Consider the following 18,706-nt stretch of genomic DNA (forward strand, 5'->3'; position numbering starts at 1 on the left):
TTTCTTCTTGTGGACCAGCACTCTTTGTCCTAGCTTCCTCTCTTGCACACCAAGCCACTGCTAAGTCAAAGCTTGCCTTTTGATCCCATGATAGCACAGAAATCAAATACTCCCAACATCCCCTTATCCTCCTATGAACAGGCCAATGCAGCGCCCCATGTGCCAACCTTAAAAGCCACAGTTGCAATGACTGGCAGGAAGGATGATGATTAACACAGTTATTGAGTGAACAGTTGGGGTGAGGGTGAAGTTTAATCATTGGTTAGTTTTAATTGCAGTCTATCTCTGATTATGAGCATCACACAGTGCATATTTTCAGTCATGTCTACTTTAAAGCAAAATTGAGAAATAAGAAGGCTTATCATTGTCTGACAGTCACTATGGATTTCTGTGATGGGTGAGTTTAGTTTAAGCTAGTCACAGTTGACAATGAATATGCAAACAGATTCTAATGAAGACCTTTTCTCATCTCCCTACCTCATTGTATTATGCCACATTGCAGAGTGTGAGTATCTCTCTCCCATGCGCAACCCTGAGTGCCTGCTGGCCTGTCCCCAGGTTGCCTTCCCCAATCTTCCAAGATTATTCAGAGCTCAAATCCCTTAGATCTAAGCCCAGGTCAGCTTTTCTTCACAAGCGAGAGAGCATCCACTCGCACAGCCCTCTGATTAATTACTCGAGTTCTGCCAAGGGCCTTTTTGTGGATGGATGGGGGAGAGCATGTATCCCTTTAAACATGCTTAATTAAGCTGGGTGAAACACTGGACTCCTTAGCAACGGGCTGGGCCTTGAAGCAAGTCTTGTGGCATATTTGCACAAGATGCTCTGTGTTTGCCCATTTGAAATGGGATCGATCTATCTGGAGGATGCCTCCATGTCTTGTACTAGGACATTCTTCCTTGGCACAGCAATATGGCCCTCCCTAGGACTCTCCTTATAGATGAGCTGTGATTCTACTATTCAGAGAGGTTGGCCGGCTGCCTCCAAGCAAGGGATACAAGATGTACAGGTAATAGTGATGCTATTCAGAAGTGATATTTGACATATTTAATAACAGGGACAGCACAGGCTCTGGCCAGTCAGAACAAGCAACAGCCATAAACCACAGATAGAGCTGTTCTGGTAGGTACTTGCTGAATATCAGCTGTGGAAAAAGTTAGAGTTTACATAGAGCTTCACATATATTTCCCTGTTTGATCATAGCCACAACCCCGTGAGAGAGGTTTGGTACTTTCTTAATTTTAGAGATTTCCCAATTCTGAGGTTCAGAGAGGTCATATGTCTTCCCCACAGCTGCATAGGTCATCAAAGAGCTGGAAGCCAAGCACCCTCCTCCATGTTCTTTCTACTGTACCACGTGGCTTGTGTCGATACAGACCCTTGGGCTGGACCAATCCTGGAAGATCAAGAGCTGACTGGTGAGCCCAGGGCAAAGGTGGTGGGGGTAGGGTGAGAGGTGCAATGCTCTGGGATTTGTAGAAAAGTCAGGGTGGAGCCAGTGCCCCTTTCTGTACCCTCCACTCACATAGCACTATGATCCTATAGGAGGCTCGGGTTAAGAAAGGGCTGCACAGAGTCAACACAGAGAGGAGCATTCTTGGGAAACAAGGACACGGTTGTTTATTTGGGAGGTGATCCCCGGAAGCACAATGATGAAGTAGGCAAGGTTAGACATAGAAGACGAAAAAACAATAAAGTGAATGCTCTGATGAATGAGTTACAGTCATGGGCAACTGGGGTTGATCCCTGGAAGCTTTCTGAAAACCATGTGGCCCTTGCCTCAAAATCGAGCCACTGGAGGGGCAGGGAGCCTGGGGCACTTATTCACTCCCTGCCATACCCACCCCGGGCATTAACTCCCCCGCATGTCACGGTGGTGACTGGCCACTGAGAGCAGGCTCTCAGGCAGGATGCCAGCCAGGCAGAGAGGAGGGACATGCACGGGGGTGAGAGCTGAGATGTCCTCATAGCTGCAGGTAAACTCAGGTGGGCTGGATATGGGATGGAGGCTCCACAGCATGTGTTACACTCATGAATCCGAATGACAGTAGAAAACAGGAGACAGGCGTTCACCATTGTGGGCTCATTTTCTCCAGGCAAGGGAGGAGGCCTCCATGTTTCAGGTATATGCCATGCCCAAGACAATGCTTGATGTTTTAGGAAACTCAGGGAATGTGTCCCTCCATCCTTTTGCTATGAAATGTTAGCATCTGGACTTGCCTCTCCCCCATCCTCTGACTTATTTGGGGAACCTCTGCAGTGGGAGGGAGCTTGCTTTTTGCTCTGGTAGGAAATGCCATATCCTCCCTACCACCAACTGAAATCTCCCCTCCCTTCTATGGCCCCCAACCTCACACCAATCTGCAGCTGGTACCTCTGCCCTGCCAGAGGGTCTGGTGGAGACATCTGACAGATACAGAATGTTTTAATTTTTGAAGCCATTGATCTAGAGCATGTTAACAAATGGCACCTGTTGGTCCAAACGTTGTTTGCCATCCATCTTGTCTTATCTGAGCACTGACTGCATCTAGATGGGAGCTATGTCAGTCCTCAGGGACAGATTGCTGTGCAGGGTTCCACCCCACAGCCAAGAGGAATTATCCCTCCAGCCTAAGAATGACAAGGGCAGTGCCTCTGTGAGTGGCTCAGGGGCCAAGAATGGGAGAAAGTGGGAGGAAATTGCCCGGGAGTGGCTAAGAAAAAAGTATTTTCACCTCCATTCTAAGGGTCAGTCTCTTGGTACATCTCAGTGATACGCTGAAGAGATTGGACTGTCACTGACAAACCTCAGTAGGTAACTTCATTGCTGTAGTAAGTGCTGAGCCAGGGGGTCATCAGCAGGGGGTGGAGTAGCCTTTATCCTGTTGTGTGAACCTGGGCGTATCATTTGTCCTCTCTTTCCTTTCATCACACCATCTATAAGATATGCAGAGAAGTCTCTGCCCTGCTCCATCTCATTAGGCTGCTGAACTGGGTTGTGCAGGACAGCATTAGAACAAGTAGAAGGAACCATGGGAATGCATTTTATTTATGAATCAATGTAAATGAGTCAGAGTGAAGAAAACCTATGCAGGGTGGGCACAGCTGGGCACAATGACTCACCTACAGCCTTGAGGTAGGATTGGTGATGTCAACCCATCTGAATCAAGGCACAGTCTGCCTGCAGAAGGGATGGGGCCTAGGGAGAAACTGGGCTTCAGAGAGGAGGGTTGTTAGCCTGTTCCCAGCTCTGCCTGAGAGATGGGTGTTCTGCTTTGGCGTGAGGACAATTTCTAGATCTTGGTAAAAATAATCTCACTTCTTAATAGCCCTCTTGCCTTATTCTGACATACCAAGCAAGCCTCAGAAGAATGTTTTGGCCTCCTCAGGACTATAATAAGGTGTCCTGGTACAGTGGGCATTGGTTGGGTTTGCTGCCCAGCATCCACCCCTGCATTGTGGTGCCCATATCCAACTTCCCTCTTTCCCCTACACTCAGCCCTTGTGCTTGGGAGGCACCAACTCTTGGCTTAGGGGTGGAGCATGTGATCTAGGCCTCAGGCAATCAGAATGTAACACTCCTCTGCTGGTCGCAAGGCTTGGCTCAGAGTTGGCTATGTGACCTCATTAGGGCCAAGGAGATGCCATGAGATGCATGCTGAGGCTTCCAGAGGAGACTCTTCCACTCCTGCCAGCTAGACTTGAAGCTGGGAAGATGGGATCCTGGAGGCAGGAAGCCATCTATCCACCATGTGGAGCCTAAATCAACAAGGTAGAACCCAGAGAAGGAAGAAATTGAGTCCTGATGATACCATTTGATGCCTGAATCCAGCTGTACCTGAAACTAGATTTATTCCCTGGAACTTTCAGTTTTGAAAGCTGATAAATTCCTTTTGCACTTAAGTCATTTTTGAATTAGAATTCCTGTCTCTGGCAACTGAAAAAATCTCAACTGAAATGCCTGGACAAGAGACAGAGCACTGCAGTCACCTTTACCAATCATTAGGCTGGCATTCCCACTTTACAATGTGACTTTTGAACCTGGTTATGTGAGTTTGCTGCTGAAAAATGACTTTGGGGTGCACTGCAAAATTTCACTTGCTAAACTCAGATGGCTGAGAACCTGGCTGGGGTACAACCCACCCATGAAAGACACTTCTTGAGAACTTGGTTGGGGTATAACCCATCTATGAAAGTCCCTTCCCGAGTGGCCATTTCTGGCACTGAGTGACATCTCTGTGGTCACTGTGGTTGGTACCTTATTTGTGTCTTCTAATCACCAATGTGTCCCTGTGAACCCCCATCCTTCATGACAGGGCTGGGGAAGACAGCAAGTACTAGCTCACATATCACTCATCCCTTTATTCATTCAGGCATTCTTTATTTATCAAATAAGTGAACAAGGAAATGGTAATAAATCCAGTTCGTTGACTGAGGTGGGAGTAATATTCGAAATACTGCATTTTACAACCAGTGTGGTCTACCACAGAAGCTGTAGTACCTGAACATTTCCATGTGAGGGCGCCTCCGGGGGATGCTGGCCTGCACCAGGGACCTTAGCCCAGCCCAGCATACACCTACAGGGGAGTCAGTGCCAAATGCCATCAGGGAACTGTTTCTCTTCAGGGCTCTGGCCAGGAGACATGTGAGCAAGGAGGTTGGCTGGTGCATGTCTGGGGTCATCGAGTGAGCACAGAAGTATTTCAATGTTTTAACAGCTGGTATGGCTTTACTGGTGAGTACTGGCTGCACATCAGGCCTGAACGAAGACCAGGTTTTAAAGGGCTTTGCATGCCAAGTTGAGAAAGTTTTATTCCATCTTGAAGACAATGGGGAGTCACTGGGGTATTAAGGAGATTGGCCTGACCAGATCTATGAGATAGGTGCCTACTTCTAGTGACAGCACAGGAGATGTCTGGATGAGGGACAAGAGACAGGTAATCTGGAAAGGAGGCTGGCAACAGTGAGGCAGCTAAGGGTGGGGTCCATGTTGGAACAGTCTTTTCCTTTTAGGGACCACTGAACCAGATGCTTGGAAGGCCATGGTATTGAGATGATGTGTGTGGTCTAGTTGAGTTTCTGTAAAACTTTCGTAAACTTGATACTTTCTCTGACGATGTGGGTTAGGAGCCAGCTATTTTACGCAGTTCATTTACTATTGTATTTAGGAAGTTCCTGAACACTCCCAGGAAGCCTGCCCTTGCAAGATATCGCCCTTCATTCCTTAACTCAGATGCTCCACTGGGATTCTGAGAAGCTTCAATTCACTGATATACATCGGTGGGAGCTGCTGAGCCATTTAAGCTTTGACTATCTCTACTTGAAAGGCATGAGATAAAGTTTTCCACTGCTGGAGAGGAGAGCATTTAAGTGACTTAGGCTCTCAACCAATCACACTCCCCCAGCAACCCTGAGAGGGTCCTTGAATGTTAATTTCATGATTCAAAATAAATGGATCATCAACCTTTGGGAAATTCATTCATCAAACATACACTAAGTCCCTACTATGCACCAGGCACTAGGGAGGATAAATGAAGCTGCAGGAAATGCCAGAGGTTTCCTTTGCTTCTTTCACACATCACAAAGCACATCATCAGCTCACAGATGGGAGTGTGCTAGGCAAATCCAATGTCCCTATTCTATTTCCCCAATAGGCAAAGCACTCTGTGCACCTAGGCAGAGTTAGTGGCCAGAGCAGCTCAGGAGCTCCAGGAACCACCCCCTTCCTGGGTCTGCTTCCTCCATTTCCCTAAGGTAAATCTTCTTTGGCACCCAAAGTCTGTGGTTCCAAGAAGCCACAGGTCAAAACAAGCACTAGTGTGCCAGGTCACCTCTGTTATTCCCAGTGTCGGAGAACCATGCTCCCGCAAAGATCTTTAATATGGAACCCTCAGTGGCTTCTGCAGAACTTGGAAGTAGTAACTATGAGGGCTCAAATCAGCCACTCAGCCCAGACCAGACTTTGGCTTTGGGGATGGTATTGCAATTAATTATGCAATATGGTTCTTTGCTGATAATCCCCTTGCTGCTGCTGGGAGGCAGAGGCAAAGCTGCTTCTTACTAGAGAGCTTTCTTTTTAATTTAAAACTGGACTCTTAAAGGAGCAACTAACTCTTCTTGTATGTACTGAACATTTAGAAACTAACATTGTAAAGGACAGCTTTTCAACACAAAGGTCGAGTAGTTTCATCTTATAGAATCTTGGAATAGCCTGTCTGGCTAGGTGTGGATGTCGGGAGGGGGACTAGTGGGGAAGAATTGTTGAGAATCAAAGGGGAAATAGAGGGAGACTGAGGATGGGACAAGGAGGAGGCAAACTCAGGAAGGATTCTAATTGTCCTGAGGGCCAGCCTTGTCGATGGCAACTTCTCTGAAGGCACCCAGGGATGCTGAATGGCCTAATAAGAGGAATCTGCTGGCACCCTAGGTTAGAGTTAATGCTTGTAAGAGCTAATACTTAGGGTGCACTATTCTTAGTTCTTTGCCTGTTTTCATTAATTTAATCCTCATGACAACCCAGTGCGATTAATTTTATTATTAGTAGTACCATTTTCCAGATGAGGAAACAGAGGCAGAGAGAGGGTAAGTGATTTTCTCAAGTCTCGGAGCTGGTGAGTGCTGAAGCTGGGATTCAGAGTCAGGGAATCAGCTCAAAAGTCTGTGCTGATAACTATGGTACTAGGAAGAGGTCCAGGAATGGGTCCACCCAGATCCAGCTCGATGACCTGGGCCAGTTACTTGGACCCTGGATTTGTTTTCACCTATACACTGGGAGAGGGGTGGAGAAGAATGAGTTGTGGTGAAGGGTAAATGAGATAGTGTGAGGGAAGAGTGCCTTGTAGGCTGGAGGGCTCTGGACACGTGTTCATTGTGGTTATTTAGTTTTCTACTGGGAGAGGAGAGGAGGCAGAGAGATTAGCTTTTCCAAGGAGCACCCAGCTTGTACCCCAGAGACTCCAGGATCTTTGGAGAACCATTGAAGCTAGAGAGGAGATGAAGGAGGCGGGATAGAAGGACTCCAGGGAGGAGAGGGGAGCCTGGCATTCGACCCATTTCAGGGGTCTGTTTGGATGCAGAGATGGGGTTGATGTGCCCACTTCCATGCAAGGTCCCACCCATGGAGCTGTCTTGGGGCCTCTGGACATTGCACTGAAATCAGCCACAGGAGCTCCTATGCTGAGCTGGGCTCAGGCCTGCTATCCTCACCCCTGAGGTTTCCAGATACTGCCCTAGGGCCCTTTCTCTATCTCTGTTTGCTCCTCTCAACCCTCCTTCGCATTCATTTCCAAGACCAAAGGAAGCTCAGCCTGCAACAGGACTCACAGCACTGTGTGTTCCGCTGCGTCCTTCCCCTTGTCAGGCATATTTGCTGCATCGTCGCTCCCCCTCTGTCCTGAGAGCCCACCCAGCACAGGGAACTTGCTTATTCCCAGAATGAGGCCGGGCCTTTCCTTGAGCGAGCCCTGGACATGTGTTTGTTGAATGGAATTGAGGAGCAGTCTGGGAGGTGGCCAGAGCCCTCCTTCCAGCTCCACTGTGTGGCTGTGGGTAAGTCCAGGGATCTCTGTGAGCCACAGTCTCCTCCTGATACAGAGGGATGGATTGGACAACTCCGAGGGCCCCTTTAGCTCTGACTTTCCCAGGGTTCCAGGGATGGAAGGGCCCGAGGTGTCTAAGAGGCTGTACACGTCATTGCTGTGGCCTCAGTGGGCCAGACTGTGAGCCCAGCCCTTGTCGTTAATGCCTGTTGATTCCCACAGGTGGCTCTGAGGAGTCATTTAGGACCCCGAGTGGGCAGAATTAACACCAACTTTATTCATCTGGCAACAAGAGTTTGGTTGGCAATAAATTGCTTCTCCAATGAGAGCATAATCACTTCTCATCAGATTAGTCCTCGCCAGGAGCTGTTCTGAAATCCTTTCCGTGTCTGATGCATACAGCTCTGACTCCGAAGGAAAAAAATGAAAAACAAATGAGATGAAAGAATGATGAATTTGATAAAGGGCAATGATATCTGGGGGCTTTTCCTCCTGCAGAGAAGCTCGGAAGTGGGGGGCGGGTGACAGGTCATTCGAAGAAGTCTGAGGGGGTGCGATCAGCTGCTCCCCCATAGTCTCACTGCTAGGTTGCATGAAAGCGAGTCCCAGAGCCAGTTTCTCCACACACAGACATTTATGCCCTGGCAAAGCAGGCAGTCCAGCAGTTCCTACAGCCTGTTCTGTGAGTCCAGGGAAGTCCCAGCTGTCTGCCCTTTTACATCCAACCTCACCCTGCATGTGAGGATCACTTGAGGTAGACATAGCAAAATTCCAGACATGAGATTTCTGTGTTCTTGTCAACATCAGACAAGCAGAAAGCCTCCTAAACCAGTGGCCAGACCCAGAACCCTGCATCAGGGTCACAGGTACAGGCTTCCCTGAGTTCTTAGGTCCTACTCAAGCAAATGTCTCTGAAATATTTTCAGCCAGTCCCCAAATCCTGAGCGCCTTTTATTTCACCAATGAAAGCTTGCTGGGGTCTGAATGTTTGTGTCTCCACCAAATTCATGTGTCGAAATCCTAACCCCCAAGGTGATCATATTATGGGAAGTGGGGCCTTTGGGAGGTGATTAGGTCATGAGGGAAGAGCTTTCATCGATGGAATTAGCACCCTCATAAATAAGATATCAGAGAGCTCCCTTCCCCTTCTGTCATGTGAAGACACGGTGAGGAGAAGACCATCTCAGAACCAGGAAGCTGGACCTCACCAGGCACTGAACCTGCTGGTGCCTTGATCTTGGACTTCCCAGCCTCTAGGGTGTAAGAAATAAATTTCTGGGCCGGGCGCGGTGGCTCACGCCTGTAATCCCAGCACTTTGGGAGGCCGAGGCGGGCGGATCACGAGGTCAGGAGATCGAGACCATCCCGGCTAAAACGGTGAAACCCCGTCTCTACTAAAAATACAAAAAATTAGCCGGGCGTGGTGGCGGGCGCCTGTAGTCCCAGCTACTTGGGAGGCTGAGGCAGGAGAATGGCGTGAACCCGGGAGGCGGAGCTTGCAGTGAGCCGAGATCCCGCCACTGCACTCCAGCTTGGGCGACAGAGCGAGACTCCGTCTCAAAAAAAAAAAAAAAAAAAAAAAAAAAAAAAAGAAATAAATTTCTGTTGTTTGTTAGCTACTCTGGTTATGGTATTTTGTTACGGCAGCCCAAACAAAGACATCAGTGTCCACCTCCCTAGTCAATGGGGCCACTATTTTCACCAATAAAGCCCATTTTTGACATGCCTTACGCTAGCTTGTGGCCTTAGCTGTTGATTGAAAGACAAATAACAGTGAAGTACTTACAACTATTGCTTCTTGTGTGGGCTTCCTCCTGAGTGTGCACAAAAGCTGGTGGCCCTCGGACTGAGGATTCTTGATTAGGGCAACTGTCCCTAAAATTGAGTTCCTCTCTGTGCTGAAATATTTGAAAGTAAAAAAGAACATCATGATAAGACACCATAAATGGGAGACCTTGTGACCCTGCAAGTCGATGCCTTTGGAGAGAGAAAGTAACTTACTAAACCGTATCTCATACATAGCTTAGAGATTCTGTTACCAGCTGGATTCAAATCCCAACCATGGACCCTGACCTCATCACTAGCTAACCCTCTGACCCTGGCCACAGACAGAGCCACCAAACTCTCCAGAGACAGAACCCCAGGAACCAACCACTTCAGCCGCAGAGGAGCCCGGCACATATCTAAAACAGCGCGTGATCATAACTATTCAGCCACAAGACGAGCCTTCAAGCCAGCCTGAGCTCCCTTCATAAATTTACTTTGATTTGAATTTTATGTCAGTCATGTTCTTGAGAGAGAGGTGAATTTTCACCTCCTTAAAAGGCATACCACTAATTCAGGCCTCTGGGAGTTATCTGGTTAGAGGGTAGGAGGGGGGTGTTTACTTCCTGTAAATATACTGCCTAGATTTTTGGCACATTTGAGGATGCAGAGACAGTTTAGCATTTTAAAAAAGCTAAGCTAAAGAATATGTAAAGCATCCTAATAAAAATATAGTTAGAGCCCAGGCGGGAGGAATAATCATTATATTAATGCATTGGGCTTGAATTCCCACAGGCACTTTTTGCTTATGTAAAAATCCTTCCCTCTTGTTACTGGTCTCAGGAAACGGCAATGTATTTCCTTTTTTTTTTTTTTTTTCCGAGAACATTGGGATCTCTGAGTCTGGTTTTTGAAGTTCTATCACAGCTTTTATTTATGAAGCAAGGCATACTTGCTTCATAAATAAAACAAGGAACAATACTGAGTTTTGGAATCAGACACCCAGAGTTCCCATCACGGCTCTGCCACCAACTAACTATGTGACCTTGGGCTCTTTAACCTCTCTGAACCTCAGTTTCTAAATTTGTAAAGTTGGGCTGCTAAAATCTAACTTATAGGGGGTTATGGGATGATGACACCGATCAGTGTTTATAAAGTACTTGTCATTTGGCAAATGCTCAGTTAAGGGGCGTCACTAACAGTGCAAGGCCAACCCATCAGAGAGGCTGTATATGGAAAGAGCATTACGAATGCTTCCAGCTGGGTATCATTAGCAGTTCTATTCTGAAGAATAATTATTCGTGACCCTTGGTGGACCTAAGGCCTGGCTGAGTGTGGCTCAGATCTGGGGCACAGTGCTTATAATACTTGGTCATTTTGACCCCTCATTCTGGGTACTGTCACATAAATGCAGAGTTGCGGTCATGAAGTGGGAGCCAAAAGGAGAATGAAAGTAGCGCCCCTTGAGTGAAGGGATTGTTGCCTTTATTTCCCATGGTGCTTTCCAAACTTAAATATGCATGTGAATCACCTGGGGATCTTAAGCAGCTGATTCAGAGTCAATAGGTCTGGGATGGGGCCTCAGATTGTGCATTTCTAACAAGCTCTCAGGGGATATCAATGTTGTTGGCCCAATTGCAAAGTTCTAAAGCAGAAGTTCTCAGCCCAGGCTACCCATTATAATCACCTGAGGAGTGATTTTTGTTAAAAAGCACTTTAACAAAAATACTTATTCTCAGGGTCTATCTCAGAGAAATTAATTAGAACCTAGGGAAGGGGAATGGTAGGCAGGGTTTGGGTTGGTCAAAACAACTTTGAGTATTTTCCGTTTTAATTATTGACCAAGGACTGCTGATGGTCTGTGATATTGTTTGGCCATCTCCCCACCCGAATCTCATCTGGCAGTTCCCATAAATCCCCACGTGTCATGGGAGGCACCTGGTGAGAGGTAATTGGATCGTGGGGGCGGTTACCCCCATGCTGCTGTTCTCGTGATAGAGGGTGACTTCTCATGAGATCTGATGGTTTTATAAAAGGCTTTTCCCCCTTTTGCTCTGCACTTCTCCTTGCTGCTGCCCTGTGAAGAAAGATGTGTTTGCTTCTCCTTCCACCATGATTGTAAGTTTACTGAGACCTCCCCAGCCATGCTGAACTGTAAGTCAATTGAACCTCTTTCCTTTATAAGTTACCCAGTGTTAGGTACGTCTTTATTAGCAGCGTGAGAACAGACTAATACAGCCTGATTTTGCCCACATCTCTACATTCAGCCATAAGCATCTGGTATGGAGGCTTCCTTTGGCCCTGAAATGCCATGCTGCAGAGGGGACAGGTAATAGGGTGGCCATGGTCACAGCAGTAGTCACTCCAGCTCTACCCTGCAGCTGCTGCAGCCCCTTTCCCTTGGTCTGCAACCCCCTCCCATGTGCTGCTGCAGAGCCTGCAGAGCCAGATGGCCAACGATGGAGCTGGGCTTGGAGAATGACTTTACCACCTCACTGTCGTGGGGTGACTGCTCTCTCAAATCAAGAGTGCCTGGGCTTTCTGACCCCTAACCCAATGTGTGGAGCTCCTGGGACAACCAATGAGTCTCTTCTGTGCTGACTGTGCTCACTACAGCTGGGGCTGGTAGCAGCTATGCCTTCAAGGGTCCCAGCCCAGGGCTCAGTCAGGATGGGACAGGCCAGGCTAAGGGGTTGGAAGGCTACGATCTGAAACTAGATGAACTCACAAGCAAGCCAAGTGACTAGAAATGGGGTGGGCTGTAGACGGGTGGGGAGTCCAGGGTTAGCGGTGCCTGGGAGGAGGCAGCAGGACCCCAGTCACAGACTCTGGCAACCATGGCATGACTGTTGGAGGCTGCAAAAGGGGAGGCTGAGGAAAAATAATGCTGGACGGTAGTTCCAGCTCCTCTGGAACACTGGACAGGGAAGGAAAGCAGCAACTCCAGCGTGGGGGCCGGGAAAGAGACTCCATCCTTGGAACCAACTGCCTACCCTCTGCACAGGCACACGGCCAGGGTACAAGAGACAAGGGAGAAACTGGGTAAAGAAGAGGTGGCAGAAGGTCAGGAGGATGAGGTGCAAGCCTAGCGATGCTGAGTCCCACAGCCACCACCACCACCACCACTACTACTACTAATGGCCGGTGTACCTCCCTTCTGTGGGCTGAGCCAAAGGCAGTGGTGGTAGTGAGGCAGATGGTGCGGAGGAAATAAAGAGGCCCGTGTCTCATGCCTCCTTCCCTCAACCAGGGATCTTTGAATGACAATAATTTCTTGCCTGGGTCTATCACAAGCCACAGCCAACTTCAAAGCAGGACTCTTGATAGTATGTGGCTTCCTTGGCCTACAGGAGACCTTGTGAAGAAAGAGTGGGTCACACCTTCTGTATCAAGATTTCTCAGAGAAACAGAACTAATTTCTTCTCTAGTAAGCCTGTTTTTGCTCATAAGGCCTCCCAACTGATTAGATGGGGCCCACCCATATTGTCAAAGGCCCCTTTACTCAAAGCCAACTGATTTTGGATGCTAACCATATCCACAAAATTCCTTCACAGCAACATCTAATTTAGTGTTTGATGAAATGACTGGGTGATACAGCCTAGCCAAGCTGACACAGAACTAACCATCACATCCCCCACTAGGTCCACTCCTGTGGTTGCAGAATGCCAGTGCCTTCAAAGGGGTGTGTGTTTCCCTCTGTGTCTCTACACATAGATGTTCATTTGGTGTCCAGTGGGACCAGGAATAGACTCTCTCTCTCTTGCCTCTACCCTTGTTAAGGTCCTGATCAATCAATGACTGGACCATTGCCACAGTCTCCTAACTGTCCCTTCCAGCCTTTTTTTTTTTTTTTTTTTTAAACCACAGTTGTTTTTCTCTGCCACACCTACCCTTTAATAAAAAATAAGCTATCCAAACCTTTTATATTATGTTTAGGGGCCATTATCACCTTATTTACAGCAATCTCTGCTCTAACACAAAGTAAAACAGTCATAGCATTCTCCACCTCAAGCCAGCTGGGCCTTGTAATAGTCACAATTGGCATTAATCAACCACACCTGGCATTCCTTCACATCTGCACCCACGCCTTTTTTAAAGCTATACTATTAAAGCCAGAGAGCTTTGTAAAAGGCAAATCTAATAGATTACTCTCTGTCTCCCTGTTTAAAGTACTTTGGTTGCCTGTTTTAGCACAACTTCTACCTGTAGGAACTACTCATGCTTCCTGAAAGATCCAGGCTGTATGATGTGTCTGAGCCTTACTCATGCCTCAAATGCTTTCTGTTCATTCATGCCCACTATCCTATCTATCTTCTGTCCTGTTTGTCAACTACTGCCCACCCTACAAACATGCACATGTACACACACACACACTCAGTCCACATACAAGTGTGCCTGGCGTTAGATCTAGACTTCCTCTATGAAGTCCTTCCTTGCCCCTGTCTTTCCTTTTTTCTCTTTCCTCCCCTCTCCCCACTCACTTCTTCACTCTGGAGTCTGTACATCCTTTCACACAGTGCCTGGTACATTTACTACCTTCCTGATACTTTCCCTCTAATTCCCCTCAGACAATCTGAAACTTAAATTAGAATAGTGGATCACCCTTAGAATGGGTGGGTTCCCATTAGGGTTGATCAGCATCAGGGGATGAGAAAATCAAAGCAACTGCCTGCACTGATTGAGCACTTACTCCATGACAAGCTTTCTGTGACTATTTCGCTGAATCTTTGCAACTCTGAGAGGTCAGTACTTTTATTTTACCCATTTTGTAGGTGAGAAAACTGAGGCTCAGAAAGGGTAACACAGTGACACAGTAAGGGGTAGAGCCAGCACTTGAACTCAGGCCTCCTGACTCCTAGGCCCACTCTACCACCACAAGGTACACAGTGTGGTTGAACGGTTTGGCTGAAAGCACTTTGTTTAAATTAAATGGCTTCAAATCATAATTTGATTAAAAAGGAACATTTCCACTTTTATCATTTATATGTAATGTTGACACATGAGCTTTTCCTAATTTGTTTTTAACTGAGATATAATTTACATATCATAAATTCATCCTTTTAAAATGTACAACTCAGTGATTTTTAGTATATTCATAAAGCTGTGCAACTATCACTGTTATATAATTTTAGAACATTTCATCACCCCCAAAAGAAGCCTGTACACATTAGCAGTCATTCTCTCTTCTTTCCTTCCCTACTCCCTGGCAATCACCAATCTACTTTCTGTCTGTATGGATTTGCTTATTCTGGACATTTCATATAAATGGAATCATTCATTGTGTGGTCTTTTGTGTCACTTCTTTCACTCTGCATGATGTTTCAAGGTTTATCCAAGTTGTAGCATATATCAGCATGTCATTCCTTTTCATGGCTGAGTAATATTCCATTGTACACTATAGGCTGACTAACGGCCCTCAAAGATACCCACATCCTTATCCCTGGAACTTGTGACTGTTACCTTATAAGGCAAAAGGAACCTGTGACTGTTACCTTATAAGGCAAAAGGAACCTAACCTTGCATATGTGATCAAGTAAGAATTTTGAGACGGGTAGATTTGTCTGGAGTACTCAGGTGGGCCCTAATGTAATCACAAGTATAAGAAAAAGGCAGAAGATAATTTGACTACAGAAGAGAAGGCAATGTGATGATAGAAACAAAATTGGACTGATGTGCTTCAGAGATGAAGGAAGAGGCACCAGCCAAGAAATGCAGACAGTTACTAGAAGCTGAAAACGGCAAGGAAACAGAATCTCCCCTCTAAGCCTCCAGAAGGAACTAAGCCCTGCTGACACCTTGACTCGAGCCAGTGAAACCAATGAAGGACTTCCACCTTCAGAACTGTAAGAGAGTAAATGTGAGTTGTTTAAGCCACTATGTTTCTGGTAATTTGCTACAGTGTTAACAGGGAAGGAGTAATATGAACATCCCACATTTTGTTTATCCATTCATCCACTGATGGACATTTGAATTGCTTCCATTGTTTGGCTATAGTGAAGAATGCTGCTATGAACATTCATGTACAAGTTTTTGTGCAGATGTTTTCCATTCTCTTGGGTATAGATCTGTCTATACAGGAGTGGAATTACCAGGTAATACGGTAACTAACTTGATGAAGTTTTGTTCTGCAGACTTTTGTGGCATGAATTTCAAAGAGGGCGGGCTGATGCTTGGGCAGGATGAAGAGGTTTTTGTGCAGGAGCTCTGGGGATGGAAGGCAGCCTCAAAGTTCCAAAGAGCTTTTCGGGAATTTAAGCTGTCATTTTACACATATGCAGCACTTTCAGCGTGCCAAAGAAATTGGGGCTGCAATTACGTTTTTTTGTGTGTATTTGTTTGAAAATAGAAGCGGATGTGCTCTTTCCTAAAGCTGATACTGAAACAGTGTAGATATGAGTAATTAGGTAAAAATAAACTGATAGGAATTTCAAAGGACAGTCACAACAGAAACTGGTAACGGAAGTGTTCGTCAAACGGATTCAGACATAACAAATATGGCCTGAGTAATTTATGTGAGCTAGAGCCAGGCACTGGAATGGGCTCTTTCATGTAAGTTTTTAAATTTAATTCTTGCCAGAACCTTATTAGGGAAACATCGCTTTCCTGCATGTGTTAAAACCGAGGATGTCATGGTGGCTACAGAGTGTTTGCCGAAGTCACAGAGCTGTTATGAGATAGTCACAATTCTAACCAGATCTGTCTGAATGGGAATTACTTTTATTTCACTGAAAAAGAGAACATTTTCTTCAGGTTATTTGTTTGGGTTTAGTCATACATATACTGAGAGGTCTCTGGCAATTAACTTTGTCTAGAGCATCTCTGGTTCACTTTTTAGTGGGAAGTCCTTGTAAATGAAATGAGGTAGAGACAAAAGTCTTATACCTCTCCATAGAAACTAGGAGGACAGAGGCATGAAGTGTCTTGTGGTGGTTTTTGTTTTGTGGGCTTGTATTTTTGTTTCTTGAGTACCTGCCAGATGCCAGGCTTCTCACTTGGTCTTCGTAACATCCTGCTGAGGTAGTTATTATGATCTCCACTTTACAGATTAGGGGAAAGGTATTTGGAAAGGCTGTAACCCTAAAATGACATGACTGGTAAATATTAGAGCCAGGATCTGAGCCTGGGTTTTCTGATTTGAAGTCCCTTGTTATTTTCACCACACAATTATGTCCCTTTTTGGTTTGGAATCTAAAACACAGAAAGAAATAGGATTCTTCTCTCTGGAAAACATTAGGTAATGTTTGGGTAATGTCCATGGTGAGAGATTCAAGTGAACATCTCAGCAGCCTGCGTTGGGAGGCAGGATCTAGACGTGCCAGGCTGGGATGGATCCGAGAGGCTCATCTGGTCCAATAGTGAAGCTCAGGTCCAGGGAAGGAGCACAGCCCGGGGCCACTGTGGGGATGTGGAAACAGCATGAGGCTGGGACGAAATCCTGCTCCACCACTTACTGCCAGGAGACTTGGGCAAGCGGTTTAATCAGAGGCTTTTTCCCATTTCAAATGGGGATAAGCAGGGCCCTGTGGAAATGAGAAAGAAAAGAAAGTCACCCAGCAGTAGGGATTCTGCAGGCCCTGGCTTTCCCAGGCCACATATCTCTAGAGGGTGAAGCAGAGTGTCACCTCCTGGCCTGGGTACCCTCGGGCTGTTCTGAAGCTTATGAGGGTGTTCAGATGCTGGCACTCTCCTTCCAGTCACTGCTGAGGGCTGGGTCCCCACTGGTCAGGGTCACTCGCCCCTTAGGTCACTGACAGGGCCTTCAGGGGAGAGGACATTCGGTCAAAGAGCTTTGCAGAATCTGGAAATCCAGCTCAGCGTTTCCTCAGCCTGCAACCCCAGGAGACTCGAGCCACAACAATACTGCAGTCCCACTGGCGGCTGCTTCCTTGTTGCTAAGCAACCAAATATTTGCTATTAAGTTCCTGTTGATGAAGCTAATTGCAAAGGTTAATTGTCCTCTGAGATGAAAAACGCTCCAGGAATGTATTTAGGAGTTGTTCTCTGAACTTCTGAGAGGACATGATTTCTTGAAAAAGCCTATTTTTAAGATGGTGATGGCATCAGCACTGTTCTGCCTGCTTTGTTCATCCCTTAGTGTGGAAGTTTTTCAAATTTAGTTAGCAAAGGAAATTTTTGTTCAGAGGGATTCCTATATGGAACCTCACTCAGTGTATGGGCAGAGATGATGGATAGCTAACTTGGAGGGGTGGGTGGAGCCTGGAGCCCCGCCCACTCAGCCCTGCACACTCATAGTCCCGCCCACTGGGAGCCCCTTCATTCACTGGCTTAGGGATAGTGCTTGTTACTTCCTGTTATTAGACTGTGAGGTCCCTGAGAGGTAAAACTGCTTGGTCTACCCTGTGCATAGTATCCAGCATACAGCTGGATGCAGGGCAAGTAAACAGCTAATGCATTTCAAATAAGTGATACCTTATTTGTCATGAACCCAGCCAGGTCAGGTGGATACAGTTAAAATACTTTGATTCAAAGATCAAAAAATCAAGCTCCAACACTGTTCCAGTGACTGGTTTTGGGTCCCTGGTGAAGCAGGTCAGGGACGTGAGAAAAGAGGAAATAATGGGTTTCCATCTCACCTCCAGAATTTAACATGCTGTGTGACCTTGGGCAAGTGTCTACACCCCCAAGAGGCTCAGTTGCCTCATCTGTACATGGGAATGATAAAGCCTACCTTGCTTCTCAGAGTGAAGTACATGGCACAGTCCCTGGCACAGAGCAGGAGCTCCATTAATGGTAGCTATTTTCTTCATTGTTTTCCAACAAGAGGCTAAAGTGGTCATGGGACATCCTGCCTCAGGCAGAAAGGCAAATTCTGATTCAATGCATTGGAGATTCCAAGGAAAGCCATAGCAACAAGGCTGGGGTCAGGAAACGGCAAAAAAGGAGGTGGGAAAGGCCCTCTGAACCATCTCTAGCAACTTTTCCATTTCACAAGTGAGGATTTAAGAGGGGTTTTCTTATAAGATGATGATGGTCCTCTCTTTTAGGAGGCTGTGAGAGGTGCTAGGGTGATAATGTGGAGAGTTGATACTAGTTCTGTCTCAGAGTCACCTGTGGGGACCCCTACCCAATTGGCAGCATCATGGAGCTGAGGGGCTTCTAAGAATCTGGATGGAGCTCAAAACTCTGACACTTGGGCCCCTGAGGCAGTTGTTCCTTGAGAAGTGGCAACCATTCAAGTCTGCCACGTTTTCACTCATTTCTTTACTTGGGATTTATTTATTTATTTATTTTTGTGACAGGGTCTCACTCTTGTTGCCCAGGCTGGAGTGCAATGGCATGATCTCGGCTCATTGCAACCTCTGCCTCCAGGGTTCAACTGATTCTCCTGCCTCAGCCTCCCAAGTAGCTGGGATTACAGGTGCTTGCCACCATGCCTGGCTATTTTTTTTGTATTTTTAGTCTCA

The 18,706-nt window shown here is 46.6% G+C and overlaps 1 long non-coding RNA gene and 1 pseudogene across 1 annotated transcript; one reads left to right on the top strand and one right to left on the bottom strand.

The window, feature by feature from the left end:
* MTND5P21 (MT-ND5 pseudogene 21) lies at positions 13,070-13,390 on the top strand (annotated as a pseudogene).
* LOC124902630 (uncharacterized) lies at positions 15,979-18,446 on the bottom strand. Its single transcript, XR_007062593.1, has 2 exons — positions 17,971-18,446; positions 15,979-16,801 (listed from the first exon to the last, which is right to left on the bottom strand). It is a non-coding gene; the product is annotated as an uncharacterized LOC124902630 (long non-coding RNA).
* Positions 18,447-18,706: the final 260 nt, after the last annotated feature.

This window comes from Homo sapiens, chromosome 11 (genome assembly GCF_000001405.40).
Source record: "Homo sapiens chromosome 11, GRCh38.p14 Primary Assembly".
In the NCBI taxonomy this organism is placed as follows: Eukaryota; Metazoa; Chordata; class Mammalia; order Primates; family Hominidae; genus Homo; species Homo sapiens.